The 25,210-nt window shown below is 48.7% G+C and overlaps 1 protein-coding gene and 1 pseudogene across 11 annotated transcripts in view, besides 9 other annotated features; one reads left to right on the top strand and one right to left on the bottom strand.

The window, feature by feature from the left end:
• The window catches only part of TCF20 (transcription factor 20), a 183,525-nt gene that overhangs the window by 62,974 nt on the left and 95,341 nt on the right, over window positions 1-25,210 (top strand). For 3 of the 10 annotated variants that reach the window (NM_181492.3, XM_011530353.3, NM_001378418.1), the window contains exon 1: window positions 9,911-10,225. The exons of 3 other annotated variants lie outside the window; for them this stretch is intronic. The gene's annotated coding sequence lies outside the window, so the exon portion shown is untranslated. Of the gene's footprint in view, window positions 1-9,910; window positions 12,252-25,210 lie in introns of those variants that run through there. 4 more of the 10 variants (XM_047441478.1, XM_047441475.1, XM_005261722.4 and 1 more) reach the window with 3 other exon arrangements.
• Window positions 2,158-2,407: an enhancer, noted in NCBI's record as "active region_19156". NCBI's record gives its function as "activates an Ori minimal core promoter by ATAC-STARR-seq in GM12878 lymphoblastoid cells {active_cell/tissue: GM12878}" and the evidence as "EXISTENCE:reporter gene assay evidence [ECO:0000049][PMID:35858748]".
• Window positions 4,105-4,901: an enhancer, noted in NCBI's record as "OCT4-NANOG-H3K4me1 hESC enhancer chr22:42671669-42672465 (GRCh37/hg19 assembly coordinates)". NCBI's record gives its function as "activates a minimal SCP1, AML or CMV promoter by ChIP-STARR-seq in naive and primed H9 embryonic stem cells {active_cell/tissue: H9 hESC(naive and primed)}" and the evidence as "EXISTENCE:reporter gene assay evidence [ECO:0000049][PMID:30033119]".
• Window positions 4,902-5,698: an enhancer, noted in NCBI's record as "H3K4me1 hESC enhancer chr22:42670872-42671668 (GRCh37/hg19 assembly coordinates)". NCBI's record gives its function as "activates a minimal SCP1, AML or CMV promoter by ChIP-STARR-seq in naive H9 embryonic stem cells {active_cell/tissue: H9 hESC(naive)}" and the evidence as "EXISTENCE:reporter gene assay evidence [ECO:0000049][PMID:30033119]".
• OGFRP1 (opioid growth factor receptor pseudogene 1) lies at window positions 5,702-10,811 on the bottom strand (annotated as a pseudogene). The gene is made up of 2 exons (NR_036498.1): window positions 10,539-10,811; window positions 5,702-6,670 (listed from the first exon to the last, which is right to left on the bottom strand). The product of NR_036498.1 is annotated as an opioid growth factor receptor pseudogene 1 (transcript).
• Window positions 9,818-9,977: a silencer, noted in NCBI's record as "silent region_13823". NCBI's record gives its function as "represses an Ori minimal core promoter by ATAC-STARR-seq in GM12878 lymphoblastoid cells {active_cell/tissue: GM12878}" and the evidence as "EXISTENCE:reporter gene assay evidence [ECO:0000049][PMID:35858748]".
• Window positions 10,118-10,267: a silencer, noted in NCBI's record as "silent region_13822". NCBI's record gives its function as "represses an Ori minimal core promoter by ATAC-STARR-seq in GM12878 lymphoblastoid cells {active_cell/tissue: GM12878}" and the evidence as "EXISTENCE:reporter gene assay evidence [ECO:0000049][PMID:35858748]".
• Window positions 10,328-10,387: a silencer, noted in NCBI's record as "silent region_13821". NCBI's record gives its function as "represses an Ori minimal core promoter by ATAC-STARR-seq in GM12878 lymphoblastoid cells {active_cell/tissue: GM12878}" and the evidence as "EXISTENCE:reporter gene assay evidence [ECO:0000049][PMID:35858748]".
• Window positions 10,528-10,767: a silencer, noted in NCBI's record as "silent region_13820". NCBI's record gives its function as "represses an Ori minimal core promoter by ATAC-STARR-seq in GM12878 lymphoblastoid cells {active_cell/tissue: GM12878}" and the evidence as "EXISTENCE:reporter gene assay evidence [ECO:0000049][PMID:35858748]".
• Window positions 11,098-11,157: an enhancer, noted in NCBI's record as "active region_19155". NCBI's record gives its function as "activates an Ori minimal core promoter by ATAC-STARR-seq in GM12878 lymphoblastoid cells {active_cell/tissue: GM12878}" and the evidence as "EXISTENCE:reporter gene assay evidence [ECO:0000049][PMID:35858748]".
• Window positions 17,184-17,233: an enhancer, noted in NCBI's record as "active region_19154". NCBI's record gives its function as "activates an Ori minimal core promoter by ATAC-STARR-seq in GM12878 lymphoblastoid cells {active_cell/tissue: GM12878}" and the evidence as "EXISTENCE:reporter gene assay evidence [ECO:0000049][PMID:35858748]".

Here is a 25,210-nt window from a genome sequence, read left to right as displayed (position 1 = left end):
CACCCTGAGCCACATGTAGGGGCAGAGCAGGGGCCAGGGCAGCCTAGAAACTAAAAGTGTGCAGGGAAAAGCCCCAGAGATTTGGTAGTTTCTGGGTGAAGCTAAACCAGTCCCCTTGCTTAGCAAAGGCAAGAACAGAGGGAAGTGGATGGCTGGAGTGTGAGGCATGGAGACCACAAAGGCCCACCCACCACTGTAAATGAGCTGCCTGGGGCTGGACGCCCCTCATACGTGGCGGAGTCACCTACACACCGTGGGGCCTTGAGCGAGTTGTGACCACCATCCTGGACTTCGATTTCCCTAGCTGTGTGAGGCGGACTTGGGTCTGTTCACCTCTCAGGCCCGCCACTGCTCTAAGGGGCTGTGATTCTCTTGTTGCTTTGGTTTTCTTGGAAGGTTTCCATGTAGGTAGTGACTTGGGCGGTATCATCTGCCCATTGATTTTTCCAGAAAGGATGCTTTCTTCCCTCCCATTCTGCACTCAGCCCACAGATGAGTGACCTCTTGCCTAGCTTTCCCATTTCTCCTCCTGTCCCTGCTAGTAACTCACCTGGTCTAGGCTCAGGGACCGAGAGGGCCCAGCCCAGTAGCAGCTCCCCAGAGGCCCCCAGAGGGCACAAGAGCCCCATAGACAACACACCCCATCACCTGTGAGGAGCACCTGGGGTGGTGTCTACGGGGCTGGGGAGCCACATCCAGCCCACACATGGCTTTGTGAGCCCGATTGCCACGGAGGCCCCCAGTGGCTCATTCACTCTCCCTCCTCCCCTCAGCAGAAGCTTTGGGATCCAACAGGTGTGGCTTCCTCCTTGCTCCGCTGTGTCTGCTGGGTGACTGTAGGCACCACACCTCCCTGAGCCTGTTTGCTCATGGGGTGAATCGTCCCACCTCACGGAGCACCTGAGGCTGGAATGATGGCAACAGCACTTGTGGCACTGAGAAGCGCAGTCACTGTGTGCCTGCAGCCCTCACTCGGGGGTGATGTTAATGTCCCTGTTCTACGGGTGAAAAGGCTGAGGCTTCAGGAGCTTAGGGAGCTTGCCGAAGGTCACATTGCCCTCTGTCCTTCCTTATTTTATTTTATTTATTGAGAGGGAGTCGCTCTGTTGCCCAGACTGGAGTGCAGTGGCGCAATCTCTGCTCACTGCAACCTCTGCCTCCCAGGTTCAAGTGATTCTCCAGCCTCAGCCTTCCAAGTAGCTGGGATTACAGGCACCTGCCACCAGAGATAGGGTTTCACCATGTTGGCCAGGCTGGTTTCGAACTCCTGACCTCAGGTGATCCGCCCGCCTCAGCCTCCCAAAGTGCTGGGACTACAGGTATGAGCCACTGCACCTGGCCCTTCCTTTCTTTTTCACACCCACCTACTACCAAGAAGGCACAGAGGCAGATGATGATGCTGGGAGTCCATCTGAGGCAGGACGGGTAAAGGAAGCCTAGAGAGCCCTAGGGGAGGAGGCTGGGGAGACACAAAACTTGTGAAGAAGTGGTTACCATGCATGTCTGTCATCATTTGCCCACAGAGGGATATACTGATAATGGGAATAATGGTCGTCAGGTGGGCAGGGGAAGGGGTACCCTGCACCATCATGTCTGCTGAGGAAGATACAGTCGTGGTTCCCTCTTCCCAAGATGTTTCTGCTCACCTTTGCTCAGGACATGGGGTTGCTTAAGGGCAATGTGTGGGTTCAGATCCGGCCTCTGCACTCACCTGCCGTGTGATCTCAGGCTAATTATTTATTGCTCTGAGCCTTAGCGTCCACGCCTGTACATGGGGATGGTCATCGTATTCACAGTGTTGTGAGGATGTTACGAGTGGACGCAGGTAATGCACTTAGCACCATGCCTAGCTGGCGGGAGAGCTCTAGGAATGTTCTCTGTTGTCGGCCTCTTGAATCAGCCTTGCCTCTCCTCAGCATTCCCTCAGCACCTGCTGTAAGTCAGCGCCAAACCCAGGCAGCCTCCTCCTGTGCCCTGGGCTAAGCCGCCAGCCTCCAGGCCTGGGAGCTGAGCGTCTGGATCTGCCGCGCAGGGGGAACAGCCTCTGAGAGTTGGTGTGTTGGCTCCCACTGCTGGCGTGACAGACATCCTGAGGAAATATGTCACTTTACAATAGTTTTCAAAGAAATTTCTAGAAAGCTCTTTTAACCCTACGGGGGCCATTCATAGCCTGGACTTCCGTTAGGTCCTAGTCTCAGTTTTTTCTTGATTTGCTGAGGTCCCGCCCTCTCCCGGGCCTCAGTTTCCTCATCTGTAAAGCAGTAACTACCCAGCTCAGAGGGCTGCCCGTGTGAGATGAAACTGCTCCTGTGAAACATGCTTTGTAACCTTGAGAGCACTTTACAGAGCTTTCGGTTCTGTTTCTGGTCATTCACCAGACGGCCGCAGGCAGATGCCTGGGCAGGGTCATACTGTGTGCCCAGGCTGGGTGTGCACAGCAGTGGGATGCCAGCTTGGCTCTCAAGGGCTCCCTGAGTCGTGGCCTCACTAAAACCCTTGAACTTTGTAATTTCTAGAGAATGTGGAAGGCTTTACAGGCAGCCCTGCTCCTTCGCAGGGAAATGCTGATAAGCGTCTTGTCCTGGTCACTGGTTCAACCCACGTATGTTTTTGGAGCAGCTCCTTGTGCTGGGCACTGGCCTGGCTGATGAGGATGAAGCTGAAGACCAGAGGTCAGCCTTGCCTTTGAGAGCTTGGCCTAGGAAGAGGGATATGGAAACTCACATCCAAAACCCTGATGACTGAGGTTCAGGGTGACGTGACACAGGGCCTGCACTTCTCAGAAGAGGCTCAGCCACAGGGCAGGATCGCGTCTAAATACATACTGGCTTGTGTCCTGTGCTCAGAATCCTTCATCATCTCCTCTTTTTGCCCAGGGATAAAGTCGCAAAGCCTCTGTGGCCTGTACTGTCCTGCTCCAGCTGCATCTCCAGCTTTCTCATTTCACTTACATTACCCTGCAGGCCCCTGTGCCCTTCCTGGAAATCTACTTGTTCCCTCCTACCGCAGGGCCTTTGCCCATGCCGTGCCCTCTGCCTGGAGCTCTCCTCCAACTTCACCATGTGGTTACTTCCTACTTGTCTTTCAGGCCTCAGCTCAAATGTCCTAGATCCCCAAGGCTCAGGGTCCCTATTGTACATCTGCTGTGCTCCTGCCACACTTTCTTACTAATTTGTATCATGGCTGTTATCAGATGATTATTTATGTGATGATTCTTTTTCTAACAGCTCCATGGCACCATAAACTTCATGACCACAGGGACCCTTGGGATCAATGCTTGTCATAAGGGCTCAGTCAATGTTTGTTGAATGAATGAATAAGTGTTAAGAGTTTGTGGAGGAGGTGGCATTTGAGTAAGACTTGAAAGAGGATATAATTTCAATCTGTAGGGAAGAGGGAACGGCATTCCTGCTGCAGGGAGCAGACAGGCACAGGACAGGAAGCCAACTTGTCTAGTTAGACAGAGAGGCAGAATGAGACCTGGGAGAGAAGGTTTGGAGAAGCAAGCGGAGCCAGATAGAGCATTGTATTCCAGGCTGATAGGAATAAACTTGAATGGTGAAGCCGCTCAGGACCCACTGACAGACTTCTGAGCCAGGGGGAGCAAAGTTAAAACCGGCTTTGGATAACTGTAATGAATCCGCCACAGGGATGGGTGGGCAGGGAAAAGTGGCTCCAGTCGAGGACCAGTTAAGAGTTGGAGAATTCACGGCTCCTGCTGCTTTCTGCTCCCCTGGAATCAAACGTGATTTTGCAATTATCCCCGAGAGCTCGCAGGGAGATGCAGGGCAGTGATGAGGAACCTCACACGGCGTGGCTGCTTCCAGAAGACAATCGCCTTGGCATCAGGGCAGCTATCCCCGAGTCACTAGAGGGAGAGACGGAGTTGATTAAGCATCGGCATCTGCGTTTCTTGGCTTCTCCTATTGAGAAGGCAGCATCCAGCTCTGCATCCCTGCACCTGTGTCCTGGTGCCTTCTATTAATAAGTGGCCCAGGAATCTTGACGCTGAAGGACCAACCTGTGGCAGAAGATGAGCAGAAACATTTCTGTCAAATGCCCAGCAAACAAGACTCCACGCCTCCGTGGGGAGCCAGCACATAAGAGTCAGGACTCTTGAGGACCTGAGGACAAATCCCAGCACCACCACTTAGCAGCTGTGCACCTTCGAGCATCTTCTAAGTGACTCTGGGCCTCCATTTCTTCACTTGTGAAAATGGAGGCTGCCCTGGTGTTGTGAAGGTTAAGGTTAAGTGACATATATGGATCCCCAAGCACAGGGAACACTGGAGGCTCAGGAAGTAGTGGCCGTTATCATGGCTGCGTTTTTCTCCATGGTTTGAATTCTTAGCAGGAAGCTTCGGTTTCAGGCTTAAAAATGAAGAGCATGTCAACAAAACAGGATGGAACAAAGTCTTTTCCCAGCATGCCTCAGCATGTGGCACTGCCTTCCCGTGGAGCCCAGACAATGATGTGGCTAAAAGTCTTGAGCTTTCAGGCAGAAATAATCCCAAAGGAAAGGAACTTCCTTATTGTCATCTTATAACAAAGCAACGCAGGGGCCCTGTAGCCTGTCAGATTCAGCTCTGCCCCCTCCGAGCTGCTCTGTGCCTCAGTTTCCTCATCTGCAAAATGAGGCGAGAACAGTACCCACTTTATAGGGTTGTTGTAAGGATTAAGCAAGTTACTGCAGGAAAAGCGCTTAGAGCATGCCTTTGTCACTGCGACTCTTAGATCATTTCATATTCAGGTTAACTCTTTGTAGTGCCCTGAGTGACTCTGTGGGGGCTTTGGAGCCAGAAGACTGAGTTCAAATCACAGCCTCTTCCTAGCTGTGTGACCTGGGCAAGTCTCTTAACCTCTGTGTGCACCCATTTCCTGCTCTGTACAATGAAGATGACAATCCCTGCCTCATGGGTTTGTTGTGAGGAGTGAATGGGATCACTCAGGTAAGGGCGCCGACTCCCCTGAGGCAGGCAGCTCACCTGGCCCCTCCCAGCCCAATTTACAGCTGAAGAAATTGGATGATTTAAAGACACACACTGGTGAGACCAGGCTGGCGCCAGCTCAGTGACTGGCCCGATGAGAGTCCAGCCACTGGGGACAGTGAGTGCCGGGCAGGTGGGGGTGATCTGTGCGCTCAGGTTGCACGGGCTTCCCGTTTCTTGGCCTATCCTCAGGTGTTAGCTCTCTGCTCACCTGTGGGGAAGATGTGTAAGTCGATTCACAGCAGCTGCTGCTTGTTGGGCAGACCGTGGTCTTCCAGGCATGGGGTCCGAGAGTCTGAGGCCCCCCGACCTGCCCGAGCTGCCCAGTGTCCAGGGCTTAATATATGACTGCTGGAGGGGCTGGCGCTGCCCATGCCGTCCTCTTACATTCTTTCCCTATCGGCCTGCAGACTTTTGGTCCTACTGACTGTCTAGGTCCATCTCTGTCTTTCCAGTGTTTGCTGAGTGCTGGGAAGCTTGGTGGTTAAGAGTGCAGCCTCTGAAAACCTGGGTTCAAATACCAGCTCAGCCTCTTCCAAACTGTGTGACTTGGGATAAGTTAAACTCTTTGCACCTCAGTGGCCCCATCTGTAAAATAGGGGTGATAACAGTACCAAACTCATTAGACTGCTGCAAATAAGAAGAACTGGGATGATAAAGGGAAATCTGCATAGTGCCTGGTTCATAGTAAGCCTGGATTCCTCTGGGCTGTATCATCCTCATTAACATCATTTTAATGGACATGGTGCCCTACCCTGCACAGGATGCCGGAGACCCAAGAGAAGCAGAGGTGTCTCTGCCCTGCATATGCTCACAGTCCAGGGGGAGAGATGGATGCATCCCAGATTAGGATGCCACACTTCTATCCTGGAGGGCAGAGTGGAGGGGCAAACCTGGAGAGCAGAAGTTTCTGTGGGACCCTGTGAAACAAATCCATGCCAAACATGTCAATGCTCTAAGGCCCTGCAGGATCCCACCCTTGCCCAACTCCGCAGCTTCATCTTTTTCCCCTGCACTGGGCACAGTCCTCCTGGGCACAGCAGGTGGCTCTCCCCCACACCCCTAAGTCTTGGTATTCTCTGGTCCTCTGTTTTAAGGCCCTCCCCACCACCATAACTTTAGAGCCTCCCCTGACCTTGCCCCAGAAAGAACTGTTCTGAGCCCCCATGCTCCCTCCATGCGGGCTCAGAGACTTGCACAAAGCAGGGGCTCCTGTGGAATGAGGGCACAGAATGAGGGCGTGCCCACAGAGGCTCTCCACCCCTGCTGTTTGTGCACTCTCAGTATCCTTGTGCTTTGCAAGGGGACAGTGCGTGGCTTGGGGACAGGCACAGCAGGAGGCTGTGGGGAGTTTCCCGCTCTGTTAGCCAGAGGCTTTTGTAAGTTGCCTCCTGGCAGACTGCAGATGAAGCCCCGAGCTTGTGAGCAGGAATTCCAGGCCTCCCTCTTGGTGTGACTGAGTTAGCAGGCGGCGCCTCCCAAGAGGAAGGAGAGCTGGAGCTTGGTGAAGGATAAAGGTGAGGGCTGTGTGTCTGCTCACGAGAGCTGGCAAGTGAGGAAGGACATCCGCCTGCTCTGAAGGCACCGACACCCTGGCTCACTTCGCACAAGTCACTGATCTGCCGAGCAGGGCCAGTCTCCTCAATCAATCCACGCTGACAGATGGTAGTAGAATCAGTGACCTAGAGGCAGAAGGCTCCATTTGTAATCCTGGAGTGGCCCAGGCGCCTGGAGGAGGGCAGAGGAGTTTGTAATAAAAGGAGTGATACAGTGTTTCCAAAAGCCGTCTTTGAGCCAGAGGAGGAGGGAAAGGATTAATTTTGTTTCTAGAATTGATACACTGATTCAGTTCAATAAGTAATTTTTGAGTGGACTGGGTTAGGAGGGAGGGGGAAAAAAACTAGTCTACTGTTTTTGTTTTTTTGTTTGTTTTTTTTTTTACTGTTCTTTCCTTAAAGAGCTCCGAGTGTGGTAGGAAAAACAGGATCCATGCATTTGAGACAGTGAGAGAACAACAGAAAACACTAATGTGATTTCAGAGGAAGGGGCGCTCAGTTATTGAGTGCCTGCCACTGTGCAATCTTGGGCAGCAACTTAACCTGTTTGAGCCTCAGTCTACTCATGTCCTTTTGTGTCCATGTCATAGAACATGCAGCTAGTGTTAACAGTGCCTGGTACTGCACTGAATTTTTTTTTTTTTTTTTTTTTTTTTTTTGAGACGGAGTTTTGCTCTTGTCGCCCAGGCTGGAGTGCAACAGCACAATCTCAGCTAACTGCAACCTTTGCCTCCAGGGTTCAGGCGATTCTCCTGCCTCAGCCTCCCAAGTAGCTGGGATTACAGGCGCCCGCCACCACGCCCAGCTAATTTTTGTATTTTTAGTAGAGACAGGGTTTCACCATGTTGGTCAGGGTGGTCTTGAACTCCTGACCTCAGGTGATACACCCCCCTTGGCCTCCCAAGTGCTGGGATTACAGGCGTAAGCCACTGTGCCTGGCCTATGCAGCTCTCTTGAGAGTCCCACAACACCTTATGAGTGAGGTAATTAAAAAAAAATTTTTTTCTTTTAAATAAATAGAGATGAGGGGGAGTCTCACTGTGTTGCGCAGGTTGGTCTTGAACTCCTGGCCTCAAGCAATCCTCACACCTCGGCTTCCCAAAGTGCTGGGATTACAGGTGTGAGCCACCACACCCGGCCCAGTGAGATAATATTATCTCCATTTTATAGCTGAGGAAACCAAAGGGGGAAGTGACTTGTCCAAGGCCACGCAGTCCAAGAGTAACCCACATCTTCCTGTTGGCTATGATGCCCATACACGTTCTTTTTCCAGATGGAACCAAAAGAGAAAGTGGCAGGCTTTCAGGGATAAAGAGGCCCAGCTGGCCTGGTCCAAGGACTGGGGAAGTTTCCAGGTGGAGGGCATTGGGGCAATGTTCTGGCAGGGTCTGAAAGGGCGGGGAGGGGGCTGCATGGTTATAAGAGGCAGGAGCTGACAGGCGCCTGGACTCCAGTTATCTGTCTGCATTCTTTATTCTTTCCCTTTTGAATGAGGCTCTGCGACAGATTGTCAGCATCCCCCGGGCCCTGCATCTGAGACGCAAGTGAGGTTATGAAGAAGGGAAAGAATGGAAGAATGATGGGGCAGGGGACTCTAAGGAAAAAGGATTCATCTTTCTTCATGAATTCTCTCAAGAAATTAAGGGTGCCCCCAACACCAGTCTTCAGGAGGCCCTGCATTCTCCTATTTTTGTCCAGAAAACATTGATTTGTGCTGAGTGCCTCTTCCAGCTTTCCCTTTACAGCCCTGATCCCAGGAGAAGCCAGGTACTGGTCTTTTAAAAGTCTTGAGGCCTGAGAATTTGAAAATGAAACTCAGAAGAACAATGGGAATAATCAGAGGGCAGGGCCCCGTGGCTTGTTCAGCTCTGCCCCGGAAGAGCCTGGCATGCAGGAGGTGTTGGGGAATCAAGTCCCCAGGAATAGTCCTGACCTGCTTTGGAGCCAGCCCCCACTTTGTGAGATTGGACAGAAGCCAGGAGAAATCACTGCCTTCCCCAAGTACATGCTCCTGCCAAGGGGCCCAGGACCACCTGGGGCTCTGCCTGGGACCCTGAGACCCTCCTTGGGTAGCCTGAGAAAAGGCAATGGCTAGGTGGGGTGAAAGGTCAAAAAGTAAAAGCAGGCCCCGGGAAGCTGTGTACCTCAAATATATGGAAATCTGGGTTCCAGACCACACCTGGTTCCTGACAATCCCCACCTGCTGCCGGAAGCACTTTTCCAATCCCAACTTTTAAGTTGGGTTGCTTCAGGAGAGGAAGCCACATACTCCCCTAACATCTAGGACAGATGGGAGCCTAATTTAGAATCGGCAATTTTAGCCAACATTAGGGACATCTAATCCAAACTCTCCTCACCCACAGGAAACTGAGGCCCAAAGTGGGAGGAGAATTTGGCCAGGTCAAAGGTCAGGGGCAGGATCACAAATTCTCAACGCATCCTACTCTTGCTGGCCTTGTCACTTTTGATGGCCGTGGGGGCACCAACATCTACATATTAGTTGCTCTACAATTGCGATTTTCTTTATAAAGAAGTCAAGCCCTTCCTTTGCTTTAGAAACATCAGGTTTGCAAAGGAAGGCTGGGAACAAGCTGAGGCCTTGGCACCGCAAATCCTCCGCCTTATCGGCAAATTAATTCGGGACCCTGGGCGCAGTCAGCCTGGCATTGCAGCTTCTTAATGCCGCAGCAGAAGGCAGCTGGAGCGTCCGTTTTACAGGTGAGGTAGGTGGGCCTCCCTCCTCGCGTTTTCCGCGGTGGAAACTGAGGCTCTGAGAGGACCCAAGTCGTTCCTCCACGGACACCTGGAACCCATGGGCGGGGGCTGCCAGGGACCCAGGCGGGACCAGCTAGGTCTTGGGCTGCCCCCGGCCCAGAGGGCTCTTGGCGGGCAGGAGCCGCCCCCACGCCCGACCCCACTAAACAGGTCACCGAGAGGAGACCGGGTCCTCGCCCGCGGACCTCCCGGGCCGCAAGAGGCGCGATTCTGGAGTTGGAGGCTCCAGGGAACTCCAGAAATCCCAGAGAGATTCCGGGCCACCAACTCCCCCAGAAAGTTGGCTCGCGTCCACCCCCAAGACGGCCCTGAGGCGCAGGCCAAGATGGCACTGGGCGGGTGGCGCGCGGCGCCCAGCGGCCGCAGAGGAGAACCCCGTGCGACCCTGCCGCGAGGTGGGGGTCTTCGCGATCCCTACCCGGCGCGCGCCAGCCTCGACGCCGCCGCACGCGGGTGGGCACGCGCGCGCCCGGCCCCGCCCCCAGCGCCCCGCCCCCGCCGCGCGCCCCGCCCCGCCGCGCGCCCTCCCGCCCGCCCGCGCGCCGCGGCCCGGAGCCTCCCCATTGGCCGCGCGCCGTCACCTGACGCTCTGTTATTTCCTGTGTGTTGGGAGAATGGAGAGAAAAAACCCCGAGCCCAGCCGCTTTCGGCCCCTGCGAGGCGGCCGCGGCCTCCGCCAGGGGAGCCCGCCCTGAGGCGCGCCTGACCGGGGAGCGAGCGCGCGGGCCGGAGCGAGCCTCGAGGGGCCGCGGCCCCGGCCCGCCCCGCCGCCGGCCCGGGCGCCCGAGCTGGAGGCGGCGGAGCCACCCCCACCCCCACCCCGCGCAGCGCCGCCCGCCGTCGCCACCGCTCCCTCCCCGCCCGCCCCCGGCGGAGGCCGAGGGACTGGGCGGGGGGCTCCTGCAGGTAACCGCCTCCCGGGCCTGAGGGGCAGGGAGAGGGTTGGGCCTGAAGGACTGGGGCCGGGCCGGGGTGTCCGGCCTCGGGGGCTGGGAGCAGAGGTCCCGGCCGGACCCAACCTGGGAGTGCGGAGCCTCCTGGACTCCGAGTCAGGGCTTGGGGTGCTGAGGGGAGTGTTGCTGCCCGGCCCGACCCAAGAGTGCGGGCAGGGGCCCGGGCCAGGCCTGGCATCAGAGGGCTAAGGTGTCTTGGGCCGGCCCGGGGTTCCGGCGGGGCTTGGGTGCCGGTGCTGGCCCGAGGGTGCGGAGGGAAGGTCTACCTGCTGGTCGCGCGAGGCCTTGGGTGCAAAGGCGGCGGGTGTGAGCGGGCGGCGTCCGGGAGTCAGCGCCGCCTGCTTCGGGGCCCCTGGCAGCCCCGGGGGCACCGGCCGCGCTCGCCTCTTGGCTACGGGCTGGAGGCGAGGCCAGCGGGGCTGGGCCGGGATGTGGGCGGGAGGGCGCCGCGCTGGGGCGCCCAGGAGAGCAGGGGCCCGTTTACTGCCATGTGAACACCTGAAGCCATGTGGACGCGGCTGCTTCTCGCCTGTTGGGGGCGGAGGGCAGGTACCGGCGGGTTGGGCGCAAGGTCCCGGCGCAGGACACACTTCCTGTGTGGGGCGGCCTCTCCTCCCGCGCCGCGGGGAACAGGGCGGGGTGTGCAAGCCGGGGTCTCTGGGCGAGGGAGCGCTCGTTTGGGGACCTGAGGCTTTCGTCCCTTTTTCGGGGGAAAGTGGTGGTTTGAAGGAGCGTGGCCAATCGGGCCGATCCCTCTCAGGCTACGGCGGGAGGTGCACTGTCCTCTGGACGCCGGAATGGGAGTGGAATTTAGTGAGTTGGGGGGCGGTGCCGAGGAGCGGCCGTCTTCCTCTGCTTGTGGGTGGGATTATTGTCTGTTTTTGTGGTTGCGGATACCAATACGGTCTGCTGGTCTGTATTCAATCCTTTAGTTTGACCTTAGGGGTCAGGTCAAAATTAGGATTTCCCCCTTTTCCTTTTTGCTTTTTTTTCCTCGAAGATTAGATGTCTCTGGTAACTGCTGTAAAATGGATGGAATTTTCGAGCTATTATCTAACAGGCTGATCTTTGAATGATAATTGGACCCTTATGTTAACAGCCTCAGTGAAGAGTGAAGAGTTTTATACAGCATCTTCCGTGGGGTGGCAGTTAGGTGGATGGGGAAGCTACACTGAATTCCGACCTGGGAGACCAGGAATCTGCTTACAGCTTTGACGCCAAATAAACTGCAGCCCAGGGCAAGTTACTTTCCCTGGTAATTTTCTCATCTGTTAAGTGAGGACTCCCGGGTCAGACGGTACAGGGGTTTGTGGTTTTGCTTTTTTATCTCTCATTTTGTGCTCTGTTTTAGCCATAGGCAACTTTTCTGAGAAATGCAGACTGTACCTTAGCTGGCTTTTAAAAGCCTGTCTTTAAGCTTCCAGCCTCTGCCTTCAACAGAGCATAAAAGTTGGTCAGGGTACGCTCTTTTTTGAAATCCCACTTGCTGTTCTGTGCTTCAGATCAGAAAGTGTATTATTCTGACCTAGGTGGAATGCACCTTAACATATTTTTTGTCTTTGTGAAAGAAGTTATCAGAAAATGTTTCAGAGAATATTTGTCTACTTGGAAAATGTGTGGATAACATGTGATTGGGTCTGTGTATGTTGGCTCAGAGGAGTTCCAAGATCTTTCTACGCAGGGGATTTTGGAGGATCCAGATTTTATTAAAGTTCTTCAAAGGACATTTGACATTTGGCTAACTGTTGAAATTTCCAGCCAGTTTCAGCATTCTCAGAGTAGGGGGATGAAGTAGAATGCCATAACATCTCCTGTGAAATGGTATGCTAGTGGAATTAACTGTCACCTCAGGGTGCACTGATTATCTGCATCCCCAACTTTCTCCTTACTGGTAGCCAGTGCTCCGCAGATGCTGAAGAACCGCAATTAGTTTCACTGATTTTATGGTGTGTGAAGGCCTTAGGCTGTGCTTTTGACTGGTAAGTATTTCTATACCAACCTCAGAATTTGTCTTAAATTTCTAGAACTGTGCTGCTGGGCCGGATATGAGCCCAATATGTTACAATATGTCTTTCTCAGATCACTTTTTATTTTTATATATTATTTAATTTTTAAAATTAAATCCCCTTTTATTTACTTATTTATTTTGACACAGTGTTGTTCTGTTGTCCAGGCTGGAGTGCAGTGGCACGATCTCAGCTCACTGCAGCCTCTACCTCCCAGTTTCAGGTGATTCTCCTGCGTCAGCCTCCCGAGTAGCTGGGATTAGAGGCATACACTACCACACCCGGCTAATTTTTGTATTTTAAGTAGAGACAACATTTCGCCATGTTAGCCAGGCTGGTCTTGAACTCCTGACCTCAGGTGATCCGCCTGCCTTGACTTCCCAAAGTGCTGGGATTACAGGTGTGAACCACTGCGCCTGGGCTAGATCACTTTTTGATTCAGTCTCTTTGAACAGTTTCCAAAAGGATCCCAGCATAGGGGCAGAGTGCTTATAATTATTGACTTCGGAGACAGTTTGGTAGTAATTTTCTTGTATGTTACCATCAGGCCTATCACACAAGTAAACACTTTTTTGTTTGTTTTTTTGAGACAGAGTCTCTCTCTGTTGCCAGGCTGGAGTGCAGTGGCACTATCTCGGCCCACTGTAACCTCCGCCTCCCGGGTTCAAGCAATTCTCCCACCTCAGCCTCCTGAGTAGCTGGGACTACAGGTGCGCACCACCACGCCCAGCTAATTTTTGTATTTTTAGTAGAGATGGGATTTCACCATATTGGGCAGGATGGTCTCAATCTCTTGACCTCATGATCCACCCGCCTTGGGCCCCCAAAGTGCTGGGATTACAGGTATGAGCCACCATGCCCAGCCCACAAGTAGACACTTTTATATAGCCACACAGATTATTTGTGATTTTCTAGAATAAACAGTTTGTTAGGATTTGAATTATGACCTTGCGTTCAGTGTGGTGTTTAAAAAAACTCCGATTACTCAAATTGGTTTTGTTTTTTCTGTTGTTGTTTTGAGATGGAGTCTCGCTCTTGTTGCCCAGCTGGGAGTGCAGTGGTGCGATCTTGGCTCACTGCAACCTCAGCCTCCAGGGTTCAAGCGAGTCTCCTGCCTCAGCCTCCCGAGTAGCTAGGATTACAGGCATGCGCCACCTCGCCTGGCTAATTTTGTATTTTCAGTAGAGACGGGATTTCTCCATGTTGGTCAGGCTGGTCTCAAACTCGACCTCAGGTGAGCCGCCTGCCTCAGCCTCCCAAAGTGCTGGGATTACAGGCATGAGCCACCGTGCCCGGCCTATTAAATTGTAAGCAGTTATCATGCTCACATGTATATTACACTTGTCTTATAAAACTTACAAGGGAAAAAATTGTTATAAAATTTTCATTCTACAAAGTAATTTGTGTGTATTCACGTGAGAGGTTGCCAAAGTTGGTAAGATATCGGGAGACATGGCTTTTAGGTTCCATAACCTAGTAGTGGTATACTTTTTTGTTTGTTTGTTTTGAGACGGAGTCTCGCTCTGTTGCCCAGGCTGGAGTGCAGTGGCACAGTCTCTGCTCACTGCAACCTTCTCTTTCTAGGCTCAAGCGATTCCCCTGCCTCAGCCTCCCGAATAGCTGGGATTACGGGCTCCTGCCACCATGCCTGGCTATTTTTTTGTATTTTTAGTAGAGATGGGGATTCGCCATCTTGGCCAGGCCAGTCTCGAACTCCTGATCTCAGGTGAGGTCAGGAGGTTATCAGCCTGCCTCAGCCTCCCAAAGTGCTGGGGTTACAGATATGAGCCACTGCACCTGGCCAACTTTTTAAAACTCTGTAAGATAAAATGGAATGTAATTGAAATGATCACACTTAATTGGAGTTGGACTTTTTCTCATGAGTCCAACCTACCTTTCATATAGGCAGGAAAAAATGCTGGCATTTGTATAAAAAACAAGCTTTTGTGCTAGACTCTGTCCAAGGCATTTTAAATTGTGTTACAATATCCACCCAGCTGACCTTAGAGATAGATGACCTTTCCTTTCCCTGAGAGCTGGTAGAGCTAATGAGGCTCAAGGCTTAGATATAACCCTCCTGCTGTTGGCTCCAGAGCCTGTGCTGTACTAGGTTTGTTGCCTGCTCAAGGCACAAATCAGTCAGTGGTAAGTGCGGCCCTGGAATCCATATCTTCCTGCTGTGCCCCTCTTTTTTTTTTTTTTTAATTTTAAAGCTATGATGAACCTGAAATCTAGATTTAGGTGAAATACTGGAAAGGGTGGTTTTTGTGACTGCTTATGGTTTTGTGACCCCCTGGGAGTTCCCTAAACTTTTACCTTGCCCATACTTGGTCAGTTTTGCCAGTGTACTTGAGATTTAATCTGTGAAAAAATTTCTCTTTTCATACTTAATTCCGTCATTCTGTCCTGAGCTGAAAACTTTGGTATCAGCTTAAAGAGTAACATAATACGTAAAGGGCTATCTCTTCCTGACTAGTTTACAATGCACTAGAATCATTTTGTATGGTGACTGCTCTCACTCAGTTCGACTGGGTGGGACTCAAAAGATATATTTACCAAAGACAGTTCTTTCCACAGTATGCCTTAAGCCTTCTTACTCATGGGGACTTTGTGTTCAAGGCACCTTAGTACTCATTCATTCTGTCTGGGGCTTTGTCTCTGCTGTCTTCATTTTCTTTTTGTGGAGGTAAAAAAGTAACAAGATAAAGCAAAACAATAAAACCATTGAAGTAAAACGGTACATGACAGTGATACCTTTGAAATACAGTAAGCCTGGGCAACATAGTGAGACCTGGTCTCTGCAAAATAAAAAAGGCCAGATGTGACGTGGGTGCCTGTAGTCCAGACTATTCAGGAGGCTGAGGTGTGAGGATCATTTGAACCTGAGAGGTTGAGGCTACAGTGAGCCATGTTGTTGCCATTGTACTCCAGCCTGGGAGACAGAGCAAGATCCTGTCCAAAAAAAGAAGAAAAAGAATACAGTATACTGAAATCAAGGTATTTATAGTTAGTAGAGCATAATTTGGTCACATTGCACTGGATAGTTTTTGATTATTGGTTAGGCTGTTGAAAGTCCTGTAATACCCTTGGTACATGTGGTATGGGTGAAAAGGTTCTCATGGCGACAAACACAATCAGTACTTTCTGTGTAAGAGCAATGTTTGCTTTTTGGGTAATATGCGTGACCCAGCAGGAAGATGAACTATAACATGAGTTAGCTGGTATATCCGTGGCTTATTATCTGGTGTTTCATAGTGGGGAATTAAAACTACTAGGGAAAATATCATTATTGCAGTATGCATATGTAAGCTGTTCTATAGGAAAGAGTAGAAATTCATTGGAACATTTGATATCAGTATGATTGGAAGATGGTTTCCACTTTTGAATGTCATGTCCCTGAATGTGGATTAAGGTCCGCGTGCATGTGTGTGCTAATTTGCATTAACAAGTATTTACAGGCATTCTAAGTATGGGAAATGTGATGGTGGGCAAGAAAGAGCCTACTCTGGAGACAGACTGTAAACAGTAAATAAAAATGTCAGGTGATGATAATAGCGGTGAAGAAAATAAGAAAACAATGTGAAATAACTCAGGGGATGTTACTTTAGAGTGGTCACAAAGATAATCCCTGTTCTGAAGCCTTTTCTGCCAGTAGGGCAGTCGAACTTGATCTGTGGGCTGGATGAAAATGACATTAAACAAAGTAAATAATTTGTTTAGCCCTGAGCATCTTGAGAAGTTAATCCAAAGGATGGAAGTGGGCTGGTTGAAGTGTTCCCTCTGTTTATATCTTTTTGGTTTGTGAATAGGGACCTGGCTCAAAAGAGCTTAAGGGAGATCATTAGTGGTACCTTGTAAAGGCTAAGAAAGAGGAGTGTTGTCTGCTTTTTTTAAAAAATCATCCTGATAAAAAATGTGGAGATGTATTGTAATATTGGTGAGTGTTAGACAGTGTAGGAAACATTCTCTGGTTATGTCTGTTTCTCCCCCCTCCCCCACCCTGCCCCCGCCCCGCCCCCGCCCCACTTTAGATCTAGACCTGTAGATGTGTTCATGTTTCTGTGTTGGGGATCTTCTGTTTGGGTAGGGGGGTGGGGATGTCAAGGAAAGCAAGGATAGCTCTAAGCAGAGGCTCTGGCAAGGGAGGGAACTGTGCGGATCAGAAAGGCTTTGTTAACCATAGCCAGGAGGGCTCATCCTCTCAGTCTTTCCCAGCCAGCTGGCATCCAGCGTGCCTTCTCCCATCCTTTCCATACTCTCTGATTATAGAATTTTAGAGCTGGAAGACACCTAAAAAATTGTCTAGTCTAACCCTTTGGCTTTACAACTCAGGAAGATGCCAAGAGGCTGGTCATTTACCCAAAGTTATGTGGCTTTATACTGACAGAATCAAGGGTAGGACCTATTCTTTGCCATCTATGCCCCACGCTCTTACCAGCATAGTTCACAGTGGCTCTTGAGTGGAAAAAGGAAGCTCCTGGGTGTTAATGTACTCGCTTAGGAAAAAGCCTATGTAGTTCCAATCTTAAGATATCAAGGAGAGATGGCACACATCAAGCTTGAAAGCAGAGACAAAATTGTACTGCTGTTAATTTTCACAAAGATGTGTAGTGTTGTCTTCTTAGGCCCCATTGGTTTCTCTCATCCTAATTATGCCTTGGTCCAAAATAGGTGACATGGAGAAACTTCCTTGGCCATGATCAGATTTAGTTCATTTAGAGTGAGGCCTTTTGGATGTAGGGTGAAACTCCTGATAGGTGGCTAAAATGGGTTTCTAGAATTGAAAAAGAGTTAAGGCTCCAGCAGCTTACCTCCAGACCTCAGTTTCAGGGAAGCCAGATTTCACTGCTGCATTTAGAAGTGCCCTAAGGATGAAGCACTACTTTGAGAGTCTGGAGAATGTTCACTGTGCTTGGCAAGAAATAGGGATTCTTGAGAAGTCAAGCAGGGGTACTTCTCTGGGCGTTTCCCTGACTTAGTGCTGTGGGAGACCAATTACCTGAGGCCAGATTCTGTATCCCTTTGGTAGTGATGTGAGAGGATATTATTGCTGAAGAAAGTCCACGTGATGGAAGGCAGCAGAGCGTGTGAAGGAGGATGTGCAACCTCATCCTGGCTCCATCACTTGCTATCAGTGACTTTTGGCATTTTGCCTGAGCTGTAGTTTCCTTATCTGTGCAACGGAGATATATCTTCTTTTGGGCTGTTGGGGGAAGGCACTAAAATAGGAAAAGTATATGGTGAAGTGGACTGCCTGCAGGTGGCACTCAGAATGGTAGCTGTCCATTAAACCATCAGTCTATGTTGTGCTATGTACTAAGACACTGGACTGGTCTTAGTCCAGTGTCTAAGAGCAGGGCTGGTCCGTGCTAATTCTGTTGATTTTATGTTCTCAAATATTGGCCTAGTATATAGTAGAGAAGGGCAATTAAATAGGGTTATCAAAAGTATTCTCATAAGGGGAATAGAAGATGCTGTACCAGGTGTATAACCCTGACTTGAGAGGTCACTGGAGGGTTCTCAGAGCGGGACCATGTATTTCCTCATCAGCCTGCTGAGCTCAGTGTCTCTTCCCACCTCTGGTTGTTTGTCCTCTTATGCTTGACCATTGGCATTCTCCAGACCCTATTTTTTCAGTGTCCTTTCTCCCTCGGTGATCTCTGATCTCCCCAGGCTTTTGTTTGTTCATAAGATGATGATCCCCACATTCACATCTTCAGCTAGATGTCTTCTAGCGCCTTCAACTCCTGCTCGACACAGCGGCTTGACCATCTCACTGGTATTGTGAGCTTAAGTCCAAAACTGAACACTTATTCCTCACAAACTCTTTGTCCTGCATTTGTCCCCAACTCTGTAAGGGGCTCTACCGTTTACCCGGTTTCTCAAATCAGATTCCTCCTTTTCTCTCACCACCCTCTACCTCTAAATCTATCATCAAGTTACTGTCAGTGCTATTTCCATAAGATGATAACTTCTTTCATCTGTACTGCCACTACCCTCTTTACCTCTTACCTGGAACATGATGATGGCCGCCTCATTTCTGCTGGTGTCTGCCTCTATTCCACTTCACCCAGAGCGGCCAAGAGTCGTATGTGTCTGCTTAAAATCTTTTAATGGTTTTCCATAGCACTTAGATTCCAAACTCCCCCACATGGTTCACAAGGGCCAGAATAATCTGGCTTCTGCCTGCCTCTCTGACCCTCCTGCTGCTTTTGTTCACGGCCCTCCAGTCACATTCACTTTTTTTTAGGCCCCAGAAGGTAGCAAGCTCTTTCCCACCTCTGGAACTTTTTTCGAGATGGAGTCTTGCTCTGTCACCCAGGCTGGAGTGCAGTGACTCAATCTTTGCTCACTGCAACCTCCGCCTCCCAGGTTCAAGTGATTCTCCTGCCTCAGCCTCCCGACTAGCTGGGATTACAGGCGCCCGCCACCAGGCCCAGCTAATTTTTGTATTTTTAGTAGAGACAGGTTCCACCATGTTGGCCAGTCTGGTCTTGAACTCCTGACCTCGTGATCTGCCCACCTCGGCCTCCCAAAGTGCTGGGATTACAGGTGTGAGCCACCATCTGGAACTTTTTTATATACTGTTTCCTGTATCCATAGCACTCTGGCAAGCCTAGCCTTTTTCTCATCCTTCAGGATATTTGTTGAATGAATAAGAGGCAGCAAAGGGGATGGGGCAAGGAGGAATGTATCCTGAGTGCATCCACAAAGGTCTCAAAAAAAAAAATGTAGAATGAAATATGTTTGAAGAGCTGAAAGACTGTGAGTTTGATTGTGGCATAGGTAAGAGTTATTTAAGCAAAACACGTAGGAGTCAGGCAGCTGGAACTTGAATGCACTGCTGATGGGAGTATAAAATGATGCAACCACTTTGGAAAACTGGCAGTTTCTCAAAAAGTTGAACATACATCTGCCCTGTGACCCAGCAGTTTAATTTCTAGGTATTTATCCAAGAGAAATGAAAATGTCCACAAATAAGACTTACATAAGAATATTAATAGCCAAATAATAACCAAAACTAAACAGTCCAGATGTCCATCAGCGAGACAGTAGATAACAAATTGGCATGTTCATACAATGGAAGACCACAAACAAAAAGGAACAAACTACAGATACGTGTAATAAGGATTAATCTCACAAATATGCTCAGTGAAAAACCAAAAATCATATGTAATGGGTGATCCCACTTAATGGACATTCCAGAATGGGCAGAACTTATTTATGTACTAGATTTCAGATTGGTGTTGCTTCTTGGGTAGAAAGGGATTGACCAAGAGAAGATGTGAGGGAACTTTTTAGAGTATAGAAATGGTTAGGTCTTGATAGGCATTCATCAAAACTGATTAAATCATATGCTGTATGTGATTTGACTGTAAAAATCACCTGTAACCTGCAGCCAAAAACAACCCAGGAATTGTTCTAGATTCCTTTTCCCCCTCACTCTCAACATCTAATTGCTCAGCAGGTTCTGTTCGCGTTATATTCAAAACATAAGTTTGGGCCAGTCGTGGTGGCTCACATCTGTAATCCCAGCACTTTGGGAGGCTAAGGCAGGTGGATCGCTTGAGTCCAGGAGTTTAAGAAAGGCCTGGGCAACACAGTGAGACCCTGTCTCTAAAATTTTTTAAAAATTAACCAGGCATGGTGATGTTCATCTGTGGTCTCGGCTACTTGGGAGGCTGAGGTGGGCGTATTGCATCTGCGAGCTGTGATTGTGCCTCACAAAAACCATATACATATATGTATCTCTCATGAATTTGTTCCCTCTCATCTCAAGAACCATACCCTCTTATCTGAACTGTATTATTAGTTTCCTGTTTTTCCTACCCCCTATTTTTGCCTTCCTCCCAAACCATTTTTTCCACTTATCAGCTAAAGTGATCTCTTAAAAATTCAAATTGGATTATGTCAATTGCCTTCCTAAAATGCTCCAGTGGTCTTTCATTGCTTTCATATGGTGGCCAACAGGGTCATATCTAACCTTTGCCTCCTTCTGAAACCATTTGACCTGGTCTCCTTCTTGCTCTCTAAGCTACAGGTTTGTTCACCTTCCCTCTTGTTTCTTGAACTCCTCAAGCTCATTTCTACCTTAGGACCTTTACACTTGGCTCCTTCCTGTGTCTGGAACACTCTGCTTCTCAAATCTTTGAGTTGTTTCTGTTTGTCATTCAGGTTCAACCTAAATGTGACCTTCTCTGAAAGGTTTTCTCTGACCCTCCCTGTCTAAAGTAGTGCCCCATTACATCACCCTGCCTTGTTTTGTTCATAGCTTTTATCATAGTCTGAATTTATTCTTTAAAACATTTTTAAATTAATTAATTTATTTTTAAAAAATAGAGACAAGGGTCTCACTTTGCCCAGGCTGGTCTTGAACTCCTGGCTTCAAGCGATCCTCCTGGGATTACAGGCATGAGCCTCCATGAACAGCCTGAATTTATCTTGTCCTTTTGTTTATCTCCCTTTTCCTCTCAGGGTTAAGCATGCCTCCTTCACTGCTATATAGGCAGCAGTATTTGATACACAGTGGGCCAAATGTGTTAAGTGACATTATTGAGGATAGTGGTGGTAGGATGAGAGCTGTTGAAAGTGGACTTGGTGAGGGAGGAGGTGCCAAGGAGAGGCAAAACTTGTTTTGGGAAACTAGGTGATGGCATTGCCATTCATTAAAATAGAAAACAACTGAGGAAGCGAATATTGGAATAGGGTATAAAGTGATGAACTTGGTTTTGAATGTAAGTTAGAGATGCTTGTAAGACATCACGTGTTTGAGCACAGATCTGCCATTTAGGAGAAGGAACTGGGCTATAGATTAAGACTTGGAGGTTGCATGTATATCATAATTCCAGCCTAGGAGTACATGAGGTTGCCCTTAGGGGTAGATTAATAATGTAAGTATGTAGAGAAGTTGTTTCTTCCTTGCTTCCTAATTGATGGGCATCTCCTGCTAGTAATAGAGACTTAACTTGGGTCTCAGCCCCCTAAAAGGTTTTGTAGTTTCAGAACCCCCCAGGGAGTTATGTTATTCTTGCTAACAATGACAAGTGCTCAAGGGCCCAGAACAGAAACTCTGAGAAAAGCTAGCGATTAAGGGAGCATGGTGGCTCTTAAATAGCAGCAGGGCTATTTAAGACCCACCAGACAGGCTGGAGGAAACTCCAGAGAGCATGGAACCAGGGAAGACTTTTTCGTGTCAGAGGCAGTAGACAAGATTACTGAGAAATGTCAGTTGGGTGGAGAGGGAGGCAGGCTTCTGGGGAGTGGTAAACTAAAGCTAGATTGTCATGTATTGATGAGAAAGGTGAAGTGAAGACAGTAAATTGGGAGTCAGACCTTCCTAAAGTTTGGCTGTTAGAGAAAAGTAAAATACAGATGCAGGGAGAATCTGGGATCAAGAGAACTCTTTTATGTGTTTTTTTCTTTTAATATAAATACTTCTTATGGAGTTACATCCTGATAAACCCATCCGTCCTAAGTCGAAGGTATATTTAATGCACCTGGCCTACTGAATATCATAACCTAGCCTAGCCTTGGATGTGCTGGCAACACCTACCTACATGAGCCTATAATTGGGCAAAATCACCTAACACAAAGCTCATTTTATAATAAAAGTGTTGCATTTATTGAATACTATACTGAAAAAGTGAGAAGCAGAATGGTTGTGTGGGTACTCAAAGTAGGGTTTCTACTGAATGCTTGTCACTTTGGCACCATCCTGAAGTGAAAATCCTAAGTGTATGTGAAACCAGAGCATGCGTAAATTCTGATGAGGAGCCAGCACACAGGATGGTGTTGAAGATGCAGGAGAGTGAGAGGATGTTGGATTGAGGACATTCCTGGGGAACTCAGAACCCAGTGTGATCCCCTGTGATTGGCGTTGGGTAGTAAGAATATCCTTCTCCCACAGGAGAGCAGAGGTGCGAGCAGAGGTGTGTGGGTGAGAAGCAGGCTGCGCATGGGGCAGGAATGTAAGGAGTACTCTTTGCGCACTGAAGATCCTCTGCCTAGGGAAGGGGGGGGAGGTATGGAGAGTTGGAGGTTTCAAGAAAGCATGAAAGATTTTAAGAAACTTCCTGCCAAGCGGATAGAGCTGACTAAGGAAACAGTAATTGTAGGGATAAAGTAAGAAAGTAGTTAAGATGAGCTTTCTACTTCCTGGGATTTTAGAGAAACTGGTCAGACCTTTATAATCCTTTGTCTAGTTTTGGATTCCAGTGATTTGGACACAACTTTTTGTGCCTTGTGTCTGGCAATTCCACTGTTCCCCATATATTAGAGCAATCCCATTTATTAGACCAGTGACTTGTAAATTATTTCAGAGCCCTCACATTTTATTTAAAAAATATGCATGTAGCACTAGCTGTATAGTTAGGTGGCAGTGTGCTAAGTGTTATATCAAAACAGAATAAGATGGAAGAAAGGCGGCAGGGGGGCACTCTCATCTCTTCCGTGCTGGGCTCCCCCAGGTCTGCAGAGGCATTTTGGGAAACAGGTGGCCTGGCTGGGGTAGAAGTGAGGGTCATCCTCTTCTCAACTCCAGCCAGAGCAGCTCATCATCTCTCTTATCTTTTGGGTATATCAACATAAGATTTTTGCTGAAAAAAGACTTGCAGAATATTTTCAAACACCATTTCACTAGGCTCTAAGGTCCTTATAGTCAGGGCTGTGTTTTGCTTTTATAGCCCCATCATCTGCATTGTTGCCTGCCAGTGCATTGAGAAAGAATGTACCATTTTGCCTCTGAGCCTCTGCTCTCTAATACTTCTCCCTCCTTCCCATCTCTAGCCGTATATTAGAGTTAAAATAGAATGTGTCTGTTTCATCGCAAATTTGTATATTCTTAGGTGATCACCATGTCTTATTAATCTATGTCTTTGTGTCCTGTTCACATAATTCTATTAAAGTAATGTTGAATTTGGATTTGTTGTAGAAAACTTGCAAAGCTCTTCTAAGAGTAACTAAAATCAGTAAAGAATAGGGGAAAAAATCCAGAGAAAATATAAGCAGGAAAACCATAGCAGACAGGGTCAGATGGAATATTAGCGGTTTAGGTGAAGAACCCAGAGAACCGCCTGCCCTGTAAGGAATGCTGGGTATTTCTCCTGGAGGGTTTTATTTTAATTTTTGAGACAGGATGTTGCACTGTCACCCAGGCTGGAGTGTGGTGATACAGTCATGGCGCACTGCAGCCTTGAGTTCCTGGACTCAAATGATCTTCCTTCCTCGGCCTCCTGAGTATCTGCGACTACAGGCACATGCCACCACACCCTGCTAATTTTATTTTCTTTTGTAGAGATTGGGGTCTCTCTATGTTGACCAGGCTGATTTTGAACTCCTGGCCTCAAGCAATCTTCTTGCCTAGGCCTTCCAAAGTGCTGGGATTACAGGCATCAGCCACTGTGCCTGGCTCCTGGAGAGTTTTAGAACAATAAAATAGAATTGTTACTCCATGGCAGAAGTGTAGAGAACATGCCTGCCAGATTCCAGCCAGATGACTCCTATAAACACAACATACAGTCAGTGTAAATGAACCTAAACAGATTTACCAGTACCTGTACATTACTAAACAGATGTAAATGAAAAGATACACTATGCATTGAACTTAATGCTACTTTTTTGTTTTTTGTTTTTTGTTTTTCTAGTAGATGTGAGTTTAAATATAGCAGGAATAGGATTTTCATCTTCTCTTGTTGAAAGTCTTCGTGGAAGTGGATTTAAGTTCTAGCATATTCAGTAGGAGAAATTTGAGCTGGAATGAAGGACATCACAGCCTGCATAATTTGTTAAATGTCTCTTTAAAAAAAAAAAAAAAACTTTGCTACATTGGCTAGCGCATGTGCTGAAAGTTGGCTTCCCCTAAAGATAAGGGACACAGGCCAAATGAAGCCTATGGGAATGAAACACATCAGAGAAAATAAAAGAAAAAAGAAAATTTCTGTTCAGCCAAGTTTGCTAAGTAGTTGCCATGCTAGGCACACACACACAAAAATCAAATAAAACACTTCACTTTTCCTTAGAGTTCAGGGTCTGTGGGAGAGTCCAATATGGAAAATTAACATTTATCAAACGTATGAATGATTGATAAGGCTGTAATAGTGGTGTAGCTGGAGTGCTGGGGAGAACTAGGCAAGAGGCTGCTCCCTCCTGATCAAGTATGGGAAGAATATTGGAGAAGCCGGTAGAGGAGGGAGCATTTGGGTAGACCTTGAAGGATGGACGAGAGAGAGAGACAAGTGGAAGAGTGGAGAAAGAGCATTCCTAAGAGAGGTCTTTTGGGAACCAAGGCTCAAAAGTATGTAGCATATTATCAATCAAACCCTGGGCCCTTAGGCTAAGGGCCTAGAGATGACAGAGGGGAAGGTCAGAAGGGAGCGTGGGCCTAATAGTATGAGAGCAAGGTGGGAATAGCTTTGAACCTGGGGCTGGGGCACTTGAGTCTCATAAATGGAACAAAGTTTTGTGAAGAGAGGTGTGAATACATGGTTGGGGGCGTTGTTCTGACTGAGGAGAGATGGTGGTGGGAAGGAGAGGGGAGGGCCGGAAACAGATGATGAATTGATCATCTTGGCCTCTTACTGTTCTGATTTTCTCATGCCCAAAGCCCTAGTCTGCATAAGAAGGATCTGTAAAATTTAGCAATTGGTTTAAATAAAATGGATTTACAGGAAATTTTGGCATCAACCCATGTTGATTCCAAAACAGGTCGGCAAGCATATTTTATTTACCCAAACATTTATAACAATAAATAATGTGGTTTTGTTGTTGTTGTTGTTGTTGTTGTTGTTGTTGTTGTTGTTTGAGATGAAGTCTCACTCTGTTGCCAGGTTGGAGTGCAGTGGCGCGATCTCAGCTCATGGCAGTCTCCTCCTCCCGGGTTCAAGTGATGCCCCTGCCTTAGCCTCCCAACTAGCTGGGACTACAGGCACGCACCA

The sequence above is a fragment of the Homo sapiens genome, chromosome 22, assembly GCF_000001405.40.
Source record: "Homo sapiens chromosome 22, GRCh38.p14 Primary Assembly".
Taxonomy (NCBI): domain Eukaryota; kingdom Metazoa; phylum Chordata; class Mammalia; order Primates; family Hominidae; genus Homo; species Homo sapiens.
The sequence above is the reverse complement of the archived record's forward strand: the minus strand, read 5'-3'. Positions and strand labels throughout refer to the sequence as shown.